Source organism: Homo sapiens, chromosome 3 (assembly GCF_000001405.40).
Source record: "Homo sapiens chromosome 3, GRCh38.p14 Primary Assembly".
NCBI classification, from domain to species: Eukaryota; Metazoa; Chordata; class Mammalia; order Primates; family Hominidae; genus Homo; species Homo sapiens.
Window position 1 is genome coordinate 9,345,821 of NC_000003.12, and position 17,233 is coordinate 9,363,053.

Consider the following 17,233-nt stretch of genomic DNA (forward strand, 5'->3'; position numbering starts at 1 on the left):
GAGAGAGAGAACAGAAGAGCAGAGAAGGCCCAGAAACAAGACTGTCATAGTAATCTAGGCCATAGTGCCTCCAAGCACAGTATGGCCCATTAGTCTTCTGGATGAACCAAGAAGAGATTTTTAAATCCAAGTTCTTTAATTCTTACAGCAAATGCCAGCCCAAGGACTTTCATTTTTACATATGACTTAAGTCCTTAATAGCTTCCTTTGTTCATTATTAACTGTAATTAAAATTTTATATTCACAAAAAACGTGCAGTAGTGCCAAGTATTGAAAACTTTGCTCTTCACAGAAAGTTTGGCAATGATGCAAATTTCTTACTGCACATGTGAAAACACAGGTTGCTGGAGTTTCCACAATTTTCAAGGATTTTTTTTTTTAGTATGTTAAAGTGTAATGTTGTTTTTCTATCTTTAAATTTTTTTATTTTTTATATTTTTTAGAGATTGGGTCTTGCTCTGTCACCCAGGCTGGAGTGCAGTGGTGAAATCATAGCTCACTGCACCTTGAACTCCTGGGCTCAAGTGTTCCGCCATCTCAGCCTCCCAAGTAGCTAGGACTATAGGCACTTGCCAGCATGCCAGACTTGTTTTTCTATTTTTAATCATTTTGTTCATTAAACATGCTATGATGTTGCCATTTTTGGTTGTTATTTTGTTCCTCTTTCATTTTTAATTTCACCAAATTACTCCCCACCAGAAGTGAAATGAATTTAGGGTAGGTATATCTTGGGGTCTTTTGACCCAATTAAGTGAGCATGTTCAAGAACTGATGGTCTAGATGCCTCCAAATCTCCCCACCCTGAGTCTAGGTTTGTTTCCTAGATTTACTACATTGGCTAACTCCTAAGGAGAGCTGGTAAGTTACTGACTATAAGATGATCAGATGTTTCAAGGGAGGAACAAGAATAGAGCAACTAAAAGCAATTTTTTCTTTTTTTTTTTTTTTTTTGAGACAAAGTCTCACTCTTCTCCCCTGAGGCTGAAGTGCAATGGCGCGATCCTGGCTCACTGCAACCTCTGCCTCCTGGGTTCAAGCAATTCTCCTGCCTCAGCCTCCCAAGTAGCTGGGATTACAGGCGCCTGCCACCACACCTGGCTAGTTTTTGTATTTTTAGTAGAGATGGGGTTTTACCATGTTGGCCAGGCTAGTCTCGAACTCCTTACCTCAGGTGATCCGCCCAGGCTAGTCTCGAACTCCTTACCTCAGGTGATCCGCCCACCTCGCCCTCCCAAAGTGCTGGGATTATAGGCATGAGCCACCGTGCCCAGCCAACTAAAAGCAATTTTGAGGAAAGATGACAGGGAGGCTCAAAGACTCACTCCCCTCCCAACTCTGTTGCTTTTTTTGTTTCTTTGTTTTTGAGACAGGGTATTGCTCTGCTGCCCAGGCAGGAGTGCAGTGGCGTGATCATGGCTCACTGCAACCTCAATCTTTCGGATTTAGGCGAGAGATTCAGCCTCCAAAGTTGCTGGGACCACAGGCATGCACCACCATGCCTGGCTGGTGAGTAGGCATACATCTATGTATAATTTTTTAAATGATAATTTTTTTTAATTTGTAGAGACAGGGCAACTTTCAGTTTTTCAAACACTGATCTTACATTACAGAAGAATATATGCAGGACTCTGTTAAATATCAGCAGGGCTACGAGGTCTGAGCTACCGATGAGCCTAATCTAAGCATAAACAAGGCTGTGTTGAGAACTACATTAACACTGCTCTGTGCTCGGCCCAAGCTACTCAGCCACTGACCTGCAGATTCATACTCTTTATTAGAATATGAAAGACTAGCAGAAAAGAGGAGACAGATCTTCCTATATAAGTTACTATCCAAGGAAATGGAGACATCTGTACAATTGATTCTGGTGACAGGTTCAAAGCTTCTTATTTTCCCATCTAGCCCTAGGAAGTCATGCTTTTAAAATGTATGGGATTTACCTTGACAAACAAAGCTTACAAAAGGATGTGGAAATCTGATTTCCACCAGCCCAACTTGCACTTCGACAGGGATTCTGTAATGTTACCAGCCTGAGAAAGAACTGATCTACTGAGTAATACATTTCCATTCCCGTATGGAGGAAGAGAAGAGAAAATTGGCTAAATCAGTACAACTTGATTTTGCTCACATTTCTACTGCCAAGAGTAGCATGGTTACTCACCAACAGGCACTAGAAACACCCACACACTCACAGACATGTACTGCCAGGCATTTGTTAGGCTACAACCTAATGAGCTTGCCATTTTCAATCATCTAGGCTCCTCATTATTCAGTAGCACCAAAATTGGGTTCACCGCAACAGTAGAATTTTATGTGCAGTACTAAGTCAGCTATGAATCACAAATAGTTACATTTCATCCAAGACAAAGCTCCAAAACCTTTTCTCTGCACATTCTCTGTGGTAGGTGAAATGACATCTATGAGAGTCCCTGGCAGACCACAGTAAGGGTAGCAGAGAATATGCAATGACTAAGGAAGAGAGAAAACAAGAAAGAGACAAAGAGTGAAAAGAAGAGTGGAAAGAAAAGGGAGAAAGACTAAAAGTAATCAAACATTTAAAAAGACAAATGTGCCTCCAGAATCCGCGAACCCCAGTCAGCGTCGCATCCCCAGCCCGCCACCATGGCTGCCTACAAATTGGTGTTGATCCAGCATGGCGAGAGCATGTGGAATCCGGAGAACCGCTTCAGCAGCTGGTACAACACCGACCTGAGCCCAGCGGGCCATAAGGAGGCGAAGTGTGGCAGGCAGGTGCTGTGAGAAGCCGGCTGAGTTTGACATCTGCTTCACCTCAGTGCAGAAGAGAGTGATCCAGACCCTCTGGACAGTGCTAGATGCCATTGATCAGACGTGGCTGCCAGTAGTGAGGATTGGTGCCTCAATGAGCAGCACTCTGGGGGTCTGATCGGTCTCAATAAAGCAGAAACTGCTGCAAAGCATGGTGAGGCCCAGGTGAAGATCTGGAGGCACTCCTATGATGTCCCACCACCTCTAATGGAGCCCGACCATCCTTTCTACAACATCAGTAAGGATCGCAGGTTTGCAAACCTCACTGAAGATCAGCTACCCTCCTGTGAGAGTCTGAAGGACACTATTGCCAAGGCTCTGCCCTTTTGGAATGAAGAAATAGTTCCCCAGATCAAGGAGGGGAAGCAGGTACTAATTGCAGCCCATGGCAACAGCCCCCCGGGCATTGTCAAGCATCTGGAGGGCCTCTCTGAAGAGGCTATCATGGAGCTGAACCTGCCCACTGGTATTCCCGTTGTCTATGAATTGGACAAGAACTTGAAACCCATACAGTTCCTGGGGGATGAAGAGACCATGCGTAAAGCCATGGAAGCTGTGGCTGCCCAGGGTAAGGCCAAGAAGTAAAGGCCAGCGGGCAGGCTACTGTCCCCAGGAGCACCCTCCCTGCCCATCGCGTCCCCCTGCCCCTCCCTCCTGCACATGTCACACTGACCACATCTGTAGGCATCTTGAGCTGTAGCTGCAGATGGGCACCAGTGGCTCCCATTTTCATTTTAGCCATTTTGTCTCCTGCACCCACTCCCTTCATACAATCTAGTCAGAACAGCACTTCTAGGGCAAGGCTTCTCAGCCCAAGCTGTGGAAAGCTCCTCTTGTCCAACAGAGTTTAAAGGTAGTGACCTGGGTTTTCACAAGTGCTTTGTTTACTAAGGATTTGTGGGGAGGAACCATGCCAAGCCATGACCAATGAAGCAAGACAGCCTGTTAAGCCACTGCCTGGGGGCTCTATTCATTCCAGTGGAAGATGAATATAACCTCTATGGTGATATGACAACTGTTTCTTCCCTGACCCCAGAGAAGCTGGCTCCAGAAGGTTGGGATCAATCCTGAATTTAGTTTATGTGTTACATTTATTTTATTTTTTTAAAAAGGTATAGTATATATAAATAATACAAAACAATAATCCTTCTGGGATTTCTCGTGGCAGTTGAAATAGTCCCACATGTGGTCATCAGAAAATAAGCCATTCCTCATACCAACATGGAATAAGCTCCTTGACCTCTGAGGGTTAGAAGTACTTCCTGCTGTGTGTTTTGGAATCCCTCCCCCACCTTGTTTCGTGACAATGAAATGCCTCTTGGTCTTGTCCAAGTGTGTCTCTCTCTGACTGATTTCTGAATCATGTTCTAGTTGCTTGGCCCTGACACATGGGCCCAGTGTTCATTTGAGCATAGCAGTACTAAATCCTTTTTCCTGATCTGTACAATAAAGGAGTGATCTGTAAAAAAAAAAAGACAAATGTGAATAATTTCATTTATTATAGTCCTGAGTTGCCATAGGTTATATTTATTGAGTGCCATCTACTCTATGTCAGACACTGTCCTAAGTGCTTTACGTGCACAATTTAATTCAGTCAACACATATTCACTGCACACCTTGTGTGTGCCAGGCACTTTTCTAAGCAAAGAATATTTTTGTAGAGAACAAAACAGATGAAAATCTCCTTCTTGGAGCTTACATTTCAGTAGGGAAGGTCTTATTTAATCATCACAACAAAGAAAAGAGATAGGAAAGGCAAGGAGAGAGGGAAAGGATATGTATGGACAGAAAAAGATAATTTAGGGAGGGGAATGCAAAGGAGAAGAAGGTTAGAGTAAAGCATCATCTTCAGGGCTTTGAGATGCTGGATGAAATGGATAAGTCCCTGTCCATGCCTCAGACTCTTCAACATGATGGCTAGGAGGGTCCCAGTACAATGGGTTTAGTGAAAAGTCTGAGTTGTAACTATGTTTGAAGAAATATGCTTCCACATTATTTCAAATGTAGATGGTAATTTGAGGTGCTAACAAAGTCTTTCTGAATAGACTTTCTGAATAGTCTTTCTGTTTTAATAAAGAGATCAGACACATCTGTAATAAGCAGTGTTCACTTGCACATGTAACTCTTCTTTCTTCCAGCTACTCTGGTGAAAGGGAAAAAAAATCAGTGGCCTAATGATGAGCCAGCTAGCTGGCTGAATTTCTCACCAGCACCAACCATAATATTAATAGATACCATTAACTGAGAACTTATTATTTGCTACATAACAAACTACCCCAAAACTTAGTAGTTTACCACAGTGATTTATTATTTCTTGTCATCCCGGGGGTTGGCAGGTGAGTTCTGGGCTCACCTAGGCTTGCTCATGTGACTGTAGTCAGATGGTGGGCTCTGCTAGGATGCTGGCTCCCTCATGCCTCTTTTTTCATGTGGTCTTTCAACATGCAAGAGTTCAGGCTGGGCTTCTTTACATAGAGGCAAGAGCAGTCCAAGAGAGGAAAAAAGGAGGCTCTTGCAACCTAGACTTGGAATTAGCCAGTGACACATCTGCCACATTCTAGGGGGTCAAAGTAAATCATAAACCCAGCCGAGATACCACCTTTTCTAGAAAGCAATAGTGGTACTTATAACCATGAGAAGAATTGTTGAAAAACCTTTGTAGGCAATCTACTTCATTTGCCATGTGCCAGAAATTTTACCTTATCTCAGTGAAACTTCCCAGCAATTTATGAGATAGTCACCATTGTATCCCTATTTTCCAGTCAAAGAAAATGTTCCTGAAAGGCTAAATATCCTTTTGCAAGTTGGTGGAAGATCTAGGACCAATCTTAATCGCGTTAGAGTTCCAATTCACAAGCATCCTTCAATAAGGGATCCCAATTCACAAGCATCCCTCAATAAGGTCAGTAGAGTTAGAGGGATTGAACCCCATATTCCCTCCTCCCTGAGGGAAGAAGAAGAGCCTGGAACAGTCATGTGCTGCGTAACAAAGTTTTAGTGAATGCATGGACCGCATATACAAAAGTGGTCCCATAAGATTATAATACTCTATTTTTCCTGTACCTTTTTTATGTTTAGATACACATATACTTACCATTGTGTTACAATTGCCTACAGTATCCAATACAGTAACATACTGTCAGGTTTGTAGCCTAGGAGCAACAGGCTGTATCAAACAGCCTAGGTGTTGTCAAATTATACCCCCAGTTAACAGACAAAATGGATTCTCTGTGGCTCAAAAGTAAAAACAGACCCAAGGGGCCATGGAAGGGTGAGGGAGCAGTCAAGCTCTTCGTGTCCTTAGAGAATGCTGCAAAACCTGTTTTTCTGCAACCAAGTCAAAGAAGAGTTCCTGGAAACAACGGCAGCTGGGAATTCCCCAGTTGACCACCACAAGACCACCTCCTGCCAACAGACAACCTGGAACCAGCCAATTAAGAGAGACTGGTGATTTGGGGCTTTAAGGCCATCTAATCGACACTCTGTTTCTGACTCCCCTGATTACCCTCCCCTGTCCTGCAGTTTTTGCCTTTATAATCTCTAACTTTCCACCCTGCTTAGAGCCCACTTCTGTTTTACACCTGAAGCTGCATTTCCCCAATCTGCAGATTGTTTTTTACAGAAAATAAAACTCTCCCCTTTTCCTCCACAGATGTTATGGACATTTTTTTTTTTTTTTTTTTTGAGATGGAGTCTCACTCTGTCACCCAGGCTGAAGCACAGTGGCACGATCTCAGCTCACTGCTGCCTCCACCTCCCAGCTTCAAGTGATTCTCCTGCCTCAGCCTCCTGAGTTGCTGGGATTACAGGCACGCATCACTACGCCTGGCTAATTTTTGTATTATTAGTAGAGATAGGGTTTCACCATGTTGACCAGGCTGGTCTCAAACTCCTGACCTCAGGTGATCCACCCACCTCGGCCTCCCAAAGTGCTGGGATTACTGGCGTGAGCCACCATGCCTGGCCTCATGGTCTTTTGTTAACAGTGTGTAGCTGGCTATGGGTTCACACAATGACAAAATCACCTAACAGCACATTTCTCGGATCATATCCCCTTCTTTTAGCAATGCATGTCTGTAGTTAAGAGCTCTGCAGCTGGGGTCAGGCCACCTTGGTGTGCGTTTGAATCTTGGCTCTAAGTCTCATCAACTCTGTGACTTTAGGCCAGTTAGTTAGCCTCAATTTCATCACCTGTATAACACGGCTAATAAGAATATCTACCCCCATAGACTATTATGTGATATACAGGTAAAACTCTGCCTCAACTGAGTATGTGCTCTGTAAATGCTGATTTCTGTTGTTGTTCCCTGAGTGTCCTGATTGGTTTACCATGAATCAAGCAGTACTACAGTCCCAAGGCCACAGTCTCTAGGGCTGTTGTTGATGCTGAGCCTATGTGGCTTTATCATCATTGTCCCTGCTGATCTTGCTGGTGATTCTGCTTTGCCTTTGGCACCGTGTTGCTGCTGCAGTGACCACTGCTGAGGGATCCTGTCCCTTTCTTTGCTCATTTGTTGCACTTCCTGCTTCCTGCAGCTGCCCCTTTGTGCAGGAGACCTGATGGCTATCCATGTTTACCTACAACATTCTCCCTTGTCAGTGCTCTTTTCGTTCCTCTGATATCACACAGGGAGGAGAGAATGGAAGTTTCCCAGATTCAGGACATTCGCTGTATTTGACTCCTATACTAACTCAATTTGTGTTTTCTGTGCTTTGCAAAAGCAGTGTTTCAGCAGGAGGAACCACTAGGTGGCAGGGGTGCTGCATTCCCCAGCTCATGACCTTCTTCCAGTAATCTCAGTTATAAGGATACAGTTCCTTTCCAAACGAATGAGCTGCTTTTAAATCAACTTACTTATCAACATGAAATTCAAGGAGAAGAATAAATTTCATATACATTCTCTTGAAAATTTACTGTGATGGCACTAAGTCCACCAACAAGCTCTCACAGGGGTTATGTTACTAAAGCGGTTTTATAGCCCTTGGCTTGAAAGGGCACGGGAAAAGTAAATAAGCCTCTGCTTGCTTAGAGCACAGCCAAAGCTGATTGTATTTCCCTCTAGTTGTTAACACCTGACAGGACAAAGGTCCTTCGGGTTAAAGGTTCATGGACTCCTAGGCTATTATTTCATTAATAAGATTATATTAATAGATACATCTCTTATCTCTCAATGAGGTCCCAAAAGGTTTTCTTGGGGGAGATGGAATTTCAGTAGTGTACTGAATGAAAAGCAGGTGTAGGGGCATCCTTCTTTCAATTACATCCCCACAGGAATCCAACTGGCCAAGTGGGATCTTCTTTTAACAAAATAGATTGGGGAGTACAAGGAAGGGAGGAGAGGTAAAGGCCAGGAGTGCCAATGAAACCCTTGTCTCACAGTGCGGGGGATCAAGAGATGCTGTGCATAACTGACAGAACAAGAAGATGTTTAATACTAATATATCCCTTACACTTAAAAGGTAAATTTAATGTAGAGGAACAAACTACATTGGGTTGTAGCTATAATGGCAGAAGAAGGAAGGGGGCGACAGGATGGTGGTAATGTTAATAGGCTAAACTTCAAGTACCATAACAAAGTCCGCAGATAATAGCAAAAATTGAAAAAGCAAGAAATGGCACTACAAACGTGTCTTTTAGAGCCATGAAGGTAATCACCATAGAAACGAAAAGCAGAAGTGGCTAACAGTCCTTGCCTCTCTCTGCAGGAGAGGAAGAAGGTGGGCAAGGGAGTGGCTGTGCTATCTGACTTTCTACCCAGGACCTTGTTTTACTTTAAGAATAGGCAAGGAGGCCGGGCGCGGTGGCTCATGCCTGTAATCCCAGCACTTTGGGAGGCCGAGGCGGGTGGATCACGAGGTTAGGAGATCGAAACCATCCTGGCTAACACGGTGAAACCCGGTCTCTACTAAAAAACACAAAAAAAATTAGCCGGACATGGTGGCAGGCGCCTGTACTCCCAGCTACTGAGGAGGCTGAGGCAGAAGAATGGTGTGAACCCGGGAGGCGGAGCTTGCAGTGAGCCGAGATTGCGCCACTGCACTCCAGCCGGGGTGACAGAGCGAGACTCCATCTCAAAAAAAAAAAAAAAAAAAAGAATAGGCAAGGATAGGAAGACATTAAGGTAAAAAAGATATCCAGGTTTGTGGGAACAAGCACCACTGAGCTCCTCCTCATTTGTGTCACTATATCTGATATGAATCATCACACTTAATCATATGCTTGTTTACTCTTTAGTTTAATATAACCACTACTTCCAGTTAGAAAGAAATGAGTGGCTTCAATTTCTACATGTAATGTTACCTGTCTCAAACTGGCATTTTCTAGCAAGATCCATTTTAGTCAATATTTTCCAAGGAGGTCATCTGGTTCTTTCTGATATAAACGAACATACCATTTTTCTTTGTAATAAACCAGAACCATAAAGAGCATATGTGCCCACTTGTACTTACTTTGTGACAGTTTAGCCTCGTTCTTGGCCATGCATCTGTCAGCAGGACATGGTTACTCTAAACCAGCAAATCTGCTAAGTCTGACCCTCAAACTTCCTCTCCTTTCTTTTCAAACCCAAATCTAAAACACCAGCAATGACAGCCCATCCTTCAAAACACCCCAGAATTTGACAGTTCTCACCACACCCACCCCTAATATCCTAGTTTGAGATATCATCATCTCTCACTTGGACCAATGAAATCACCTAGTAACTGCTTCCATTCCTGCTCCCTAACATTGTCCAGGCAGCAGCCAGAGTGATTGTCTGTTTGTTCGTTTGTTTTGGTCAGGCACGGTGATAATTTGTGAGACACTGACTTCTACGATGTATCCATCCCATCTCTCTTCCACCTCTATCCTGCTCACTCCTCTGCAGCCTCACTGGCCACCTGGCTATTCCTAGGCCCTGCTGAATATGCTGAGGCCTTCTGCCTGGGATGCTCCCCTCCTGGCTATCTAAATAGCTTGCTCTGTTGTTTCATTCAGGGTCTACTTTGTCACCTTATCAAAGAGGCTTTACCTGACCACCTGACATACAATAGACATATTCCTCCACCTCTCCAGCACCGTCCACCAACCACCTTGCTTAATTTTTCTCCCTAATGCTTATTACCACAGAAATGTGATGTATATATTTTCTGTATTATCTGTTTCTTCCATTAGAACACAAGTAATTTATAAAGTAAAGACATTTATTTCTCACATTTCTGGAGGCTGGAAAGTCCAATGTCAAGGTGCTGGCATCTGGTGAGGGCCTTCTTGCTATGTCACCCCACGGCAGAAGGCAGAAGGGAAAGAGAACACACATGAGAGGGAGAAGGGAGCAAAACTCATCCTTTTATCTGGAATCCACTCCTGCAATAATTAACCTACTTCCATGATAACAGCATTAATTCATTCATCTAGGTAGAGCCCTCATGATCTAATCACAGCTTAAAGATCCCACTTCTCAACACTGTTCCAATGGGGCTTAAGTTTCAAACACATGAACTTTGGTGGCACACATTCAAACCACAGTAACATACTACCGGTGAACAACATGGGATAGAGAGATATTTCCTGAACCGTGAGACCTGTTTATGGGACTTTTTTTTCTTTTTTTTTTTTTTTTTTTGAGACAGGATCTCACTGTCACCCAGGCTGGAATACCATGGCACGATCTTGGCTCACTGCAACCTCCACCTCCCAGGCTCAAGCAATCCTCCCACCTCACCCTCCTAAGTAGCTGGGACCACAGGTATGCACTATCATGGCCAGCTAATTTTTTTTTTTTTTTTTTTTTTTTTTTTTTTTGAGACAGAGTCCCGCTCTATCGCCCAGGCTGGAGTGCAGTGGCGCAAACTGGGCTCACTGAAAGTGCTGCCTCCCGGGTTCATGCCATCCTCCTGCCTCAGCCTCCTGCGTAGCTGGGACTACAGGCGCCCGCCACCACATCCGGCTAATTTTTTTGTATTTTTAGTAGAGATGGGGTTTCACCGTGTTAGCCAGGATGGTCTCGATCTCCTGACCTCGTGATCCGCCCGCCTCAGCCTCCCACAGTGCTAGGATTACAGGCGTGAGCCACCACGCTCAGCCAATTTTTGTATTTTTTGTAGAGATGAGGTTTTGCCATGTTGCCCAGGTTGGTCTCAAACTCCTGAGCTCAAGCAACCCACCTGCCTCGGCCTCCTAAAGTGCTGGGATTACAGCCATGAGCCACTGTGCCCAGCCTGGGACATGATTTTAGATAGTACAAAGATAGGCATTAAATAACACCAAATCAGGTCAAGAGAATATTTTCTTTTGATGACTTAATCTCTCTCATTATGTCAAGAAAATCTCATTATTGCTAGTTTGTCTCTAATATTTGTAATTTGTATTTTTTTATATTATTTTATTTTGGGGGGTGGGTGTGGTGGCTCATGCCTGTAATTCCAGCACTTTGCAAGGCCAAGGCAGGCAGATCACTTGAGCTCAGGAGTTCAAGACCAGCCTGGGCAACATGGCAAAACCCCATCTCTACTAAAAGTACAAAAATTAGCCAAGCATGGTGGTGTGAGCCAGAGGCTGAGGTGGGAGAGTCGCTTGAGCCTGGGAGCCAGAGGCTGCAGTGAGCTGAGATCGCACCACTGCACTCCAGCCTGGGCAACAGAGTGAGACCTCATCTCAAAATATATATACATTTTTTTTAATTGATAATGGGATCTCACTATGCTTTCTGTCTCTATATATTTGCCTATTCTGGGTATTTCATGTAAATGAAATCATGTAGGTATTTCATGTAGGTATTTCTCAACAACGAAAGACATGTGGTCTTTCGTGTCTGGCATCTTAGCATAATATTTCAAAAGTCCATCCATATTGTAGCATGCATCTGATGGTCTTAAACTCCTAGGCTCAAGTGATCCTCCCACTTCTGCCTCCCAATTAGCTGAGATTACAGGCACACACCACCATACCTGGCTTGATAATTTATCCTTAAGGAATAGAGAATGTTACTCTTCTGGGGAGTATGTAAAAGAAAAAAAAAAAAAAAGAGTATAAAATGGGCCTTACATTAGAGCCTAAGAGCCTTTGCAAGGAACAGTGTCTGACCAGAATTTAATAACTTTGCTTTGTTTTCATTGTATTTATTCTTAAGGATACTATTTATTTTCATTATTTGCCTGGTAATGTGTTAATCACATTTAAGTCTCCCAATATAAGTCTAGGAGGGAAATGATGAGTTACCCATATGACCAAAGTTTCCTTTTTCCTTTATAAAAGTTCACATAACACAAAATTCCCCATTTGAAATTTTTTTTTTTTTCTTTTTTGAGATGGAGTCTCACTCTGTCTCCCAGACTGGAATGCAGTGGCACAATCCCGGCTCATTGCAACCTCTGCTTCCCAGGTTCAAATGATTCTCCTGCCTCAGCCACTCGAGTAGCTGGGATTAGAGATGCACGCCACCACACCCAGCTAGTTTTTGTATTTTTAGTAGAGACGGGCTTTCACCATGTTGGCCAGGCTGGTCTCAAACTCTGAAATATTTTAAACTGTAAAATTCAGTGTTTCTTAGTATATTCATAACAATGTGTGACCATCTTTACTACCTAATTCCAGAACATTCTCATCACTTCCATAAGAAACTCTACCCCCTTTAGCTATCACCTGCCAACCCCCTACTTCCCCCAGCCCTAAGCAACCATTAACCTGCTTTCTGTCTCTATATATTTACCTATTTTGAATATTTCATATGAATAAAATCATGTATGCCTGTATAACACATGGTCTTTTGTGTCTGGCATCTCAGCATAGTGTTTCAAAAGTCCATCCATATTGTAGAATATATCTGTACTTTGGAAAAACTCTCAAACCATGCTTCTCCTCTGCTCTCACACCAACACAAAAACAGTCAAGACTTCTGGGACCCCAAAATATGTGGGGATTTCTCCTCATCAGCCAGCAGGCAAGCAATCAGTTCTGCAGCGGACACCAGCTGTGTGTTCTCCAACTCAATTTCAACACTATCTACCTAGACATAATGTCAGATCCTACAGGTTAAGGGTTCAGTCTCCAAGACTATCCCCACCTCAGATATCAGTTGCAAGTTTGGGTCTCCAGAACTTCTGACCAACAGGCTTTAAGTTGGGGTTTCCATGACCCCCTCTTTGGGTTCAATTGATTTGCTGGAGCGGCTCACAGAACCCAGTGTAACACATATTTTCTGGTTTATTACAAAAGATATTACAAAGGATACAGATGAAGAGATGCATAGGGCAAGGGATAGGGGAAAGGACACCCATCAGAGGGCCCTTGGCCCTCTGAAGGTTTACTGAAAAATCTACTCACAAGAAGGCAGATTAATAAAAGAAGAGGTATACAAATTTATTAAACCATGTACACAGGGAGAATCACAGAGTGATTGCCCAATATCCCAATGGGGTTCAGAAGCTTAACACCATCTTGAGGTTACAGAAAGAACACGGACTTGGATCCTGGCAAAACAGATTATGGTGGGGGGATATAAATTCTATTTAGGGGCAATAAATGGTTACTAGGGAGAATGATTGGATGGGGAACAGAAATTAATTCATTAATAGTTCTCTTTGGAACTTAAATGATCCTCAGGGACAGTCATGATCTTATAAAAGGGTCCGTTCAGGTACATTCTTGGTCTTCTTTCCTGTAATGGATAATGAGACAAGGAGGGGAGCAACTGTTCTCCTTGGAGGGTCCATACTATCTTTATGTAGATAGGGAAAAAGTCTCTTCCAACTTGATACCTAAGAGTTTTTAACTCAAAATCCTCATTATACCAGGGAGCCATATTTTGGGATAAAATTCCCTGCACTCCCTCTGACCTTTCATGAAGACTTCATTGGTTGCTCATGATTGAAGCATGGACAACCATGCTCATGATTGAGGCATGGACAACCATATCAAAAAGTGATTGGACAAAAAAATACATGCTCTAAACCCAGCAAGGTCTGTCTATTCAGATGCCTCTTGGCCTCTCTGTGCAGCATTCCTTCCTCCAGGATATGGGGTAGGGCCCTCTCTGGAATAGATGCCTTACGACCACAATCAGATTAGAGTCTTGCCAAGTAGGCAGGTGAAAGGAGGGCAAGAGAAGGTCAGAGAAAGAGATTCTGTTTACTGCAAAATGGGCTAGGAAAGTTATGAGCTAGGAACTGTGGATGAAAACCAATGTATCATATCACAGTATTCCATTCCTTTTTATGACCAAATAATATTCTACTCTATAGATATAACACACTTGTTTGTCTATTCATTAGCTGATGAACATTTGGGTTGTTTCTACTTTTTGACTAAATCAATAAGGCCGCTAGGCACATTTGTGTACAAGTTGTTGTTTTTGTTGTTTAGAGATGGGAACGCTCTCTGTTGCCCAGGCTGGAGTACAGTGGTGCAATCATAGTTCACTACAGACTCGAACTCCTGGGCCCAAGCAATCCTCCCATGTCAGCCTCTTCAGTGTCTGGTACCACAGATGAGTGCCACCACACCCAGCTACTTTCTAAATTTTTTGTAGAGACAGGTCTCCCTATGTTGTCCAGGCTGGTCTCAAACTCTTGGGCTCAAGCAATCTTCCCGCCTCTGCCTCCCAAATTGCTAGAATTACAGGCATGAGCCAGCATGCCCAGTTTGTGTACAAGTTTTTGTTTGAACACTTGTTTTCAGTCTTCTTGGGTATAAAGCTATTACAGATGTTCCTTGACTTACAATGGGATTATATCCCAATAAACCCACCATACGCAGAAAATAGTGTAAGTTAAAAATGCATTATAACCCATCAGCCCATTGTAAAGTCAAAAAATTGTAAGTCAAACCATCCTAAGTCAGAAAGCATCTGTAGTGGAATTGGTGAGTAATGTGTTCTATGTTTAATTTTTTGACGAAAGGCTAAATTGTTTTCCAATGGACGTGTATTAGTCCATTTTCACACTGCTGATAGAGACATACCCAAGACTGGGCAATTTGCAAAAGAAAGAGGTTTAATGGATTTACAGTTCCATGTGGCTACGGAGGCCTCACAATCATGGTGGAAGGTGAAAGGCACTTCTTACATGGCGGCAGCAAGAAAGAGAATGGGAGAAGCGGAAGTGGAAACCTCTTATCAAACCATCAGATCTTGTGAGACTTATTCACTACCACAAGAACAGTATGCAGGGAATCACCCCCATGATTCAATCATCTCCCACTGGGTCCCTCCCACAATATATGGGAATTATGGGAGTATACTTCAAGATGAAATTTAGGTGGAGTCACAGAGCTAAAACATACCAGGGCATATATCATTTTGTATTTTCATCAGCAATGTATAAGTGCTCCATTGCCCCACATACTCATTAGAACTTGGAACTGTTGATTTTTTGTTTTTTACTTTTAGTCATTTTGATGAGTATCCCATTGTGATTAATTTGCAATTCCCTAATGACTAATGATGTTCAGCATCTTTTCATGTGCTTATTGGCCATTTGTCCATCTTTTGGAGAAATATCTATTCAAGCCCTTTACATATTTTTCATTTTATTTTTGAGACAAGGTCTCACTCTGTCACCTGGGCTGAAGTGCAGTGATGTGATCATAACTCATTACAGCCTCAACCTCCCCAGCTCAAGCTATTCTCCTGTCTCAGCCTCCCGAGTAGCTGGGACTACAGGTGAGTGTCACCATGCCTAGCTAATTTTTGTCATTTTTTTGTAGCGACAGAGTTTTGCCATGTTGCCAGAGCTAGTCTCAAACTCTGAGCTCAAGCGAGCCACTCACCTCAGCCTCCCAAAGCGCTGGGACTACAGGCATGAACCACCACTCCCAGCCCCTTTGCACATTTATAAATTGTGTTCTTTTTGGTTTTGTTTTGTTTTAAATTCGGTTTATCTTTTTGTTGTTGGGTTCCTTTCACAATAAGTTAACTTTTGTCAACTGAAAAATAAAAATAAAATTCTATGCCCCCCAACTGACTGAACAGGCCCTCTCTTGGCCAAGGAGACCCTAGAAAAAACTTGGAAGCTGAGTTCCTACTCATGACAGGATGGGAAGTCGGACACACCTCTTTATAACCCCTCCCTCTATAATCGCCATTAGATTTTCTTTCCTAAGGGTTAAACAGAAACCAGCCCTTTTGAAAGACTCACTCCACCAGCCTGATGCTGACCCTCCCATTTGCAGTTTCAATAGAACAACCGACTAGCATTCCTTCCTGATAAGAGATCACCCACCATCCAGGGAGTGGTTCTGGCCAGTCGACAGAGGACGTGCAGTGAGGGTTTTCACATCCCCTGCTTCACCTTTTGAAGTCAAGCGGTAGAAAACTCTACCCTTGGATCATGCTAAGGCCACCATTTTTTAAACATGGGATCCACAGAGAGGCATGAAGCTCAACTGCACATGCACAAATTGCTCCTTTCATAAATATTCGTGACCCCTCTTACAGTTTATTTAACATGTATATTTGGCCACTGTGTTTAGCATAAATCCCTGTCTTATTCTTCCAACCCTGGAAGTGCCTGTTTTTGGCTTCTGACTGGAAGCTAGGCTTCCCAGTCTGTCAAAATGGCTACCATGCAGGTTCAACTCTTTTTTTTTTTTTTTTTTTTTTTTTTTGAGATGATGTCTTGCTCCCAGACTGGAGTGCAGTGGCACAATCTTGGCTCTCTGCAACCTCTGCCTCCTGGGTAAGCAACTCTTCTGCTTCATCTTCCCAAGTAGCTAGGACTACAGGTGCAGGCCACCACATCCAGCTAACTTTTGTATTTTTAGTAGAGATGGAGTTTCACCATGTTGGCCAGCCTGGCCTCAAACTCCTGACCTCAAGTGATCCACCCGCCTCAGCCTCCCAAAGTGCTGGGATTACAGGCATGAGCCACTGTGCCCGGCCAGGTTCAACCCTTTATGAGAAATAAAGTTCATCTGATTGGGCACAGTGGCTCATGCCTGTAATCCCAGCACTTTAGGAGGGCTAGACAGAAGAATCACTTGAACCCAGATGTTCGAGACCAGCTTAGGCAACATAGTGAGCCCCACTATTTCTATTTTTTTTAAACTAAAGAAAAATATGAAGTAAACAGTGCTAAAATAGTGATGGCAATACAGAAATCAGGAACTAGTGGCATGACATTTTGAGAAAGATATTTAAATAAGCTGGAGAGACTCGGTGTCTCCAGCTTTAAAACAGAAATCAGTCTCTGCCACTTCATAGGTGCTAGAACAAAAGAGACTTGTTCCAAATGAGATGACGCATGTGAAGCGCTTACCCAGTGCTCGGCAAGGGGAAGCACTCTCTAAACGTTAGCAAATACCATGGTAGGACACAAGGCCCCTGACTCTCCGCTTTCAGCTTACTGAAGATCCTCAAAACCAACAGCACACAGCTTCCAGCGCATGCTCCTTTCCCCAAGACCTTGTGGGGGAACCCGCCGCCAGCGCGGAGCCACCGTGACTCGTAGCCTGACTTCCGTTTCCGGGGGC

The 17,233-nt window shown here is 43.4% G+C and overlaps 1 protein-coding gene and 1 pseudogene across 1 annotated transcript in view, besides 1 other annotated feature; one reads left to right on the forward strand and one right to left on the reverse strand.

Moving 5' to 3' along the window:
* The window catches only part of SRGAP3 (SLIT-ROBO Rho GTPase activating protein 3), a 382,437-nt gene extending 365,230 nt beyond the window's left edge, over positions 1 to 17,207 (reverse strand). The window contains exon 1 of the mRNA XM_024453843.2: positions 17,020 to 17,207. The gene's annotated coding sequence lies outside the window, so the exon portion shown is untranslated. The remainder of the gene's footprint in view (positions 1 to 17,019) is intronic.
* On the forward strand, positions 2,574 to 3,569 carry PGAM1P4 (phosphoglycerate mutase 1 pseudogene 4; annotated as a pseudogene).
* Positions 16,964 to 17,173: an enhancer, noted in NCBI's record as "active region_19399". NCBI's record gives its function as "activates an Ori minimal core promoter by ATAC-STARR-seq in GM12878 lymphoblastoid cells {active_cell/tissue: GM12878}" and the evidence as "EXISTENCE:reporter gene assay evidence [ECO:0000049][PMID:35858748]".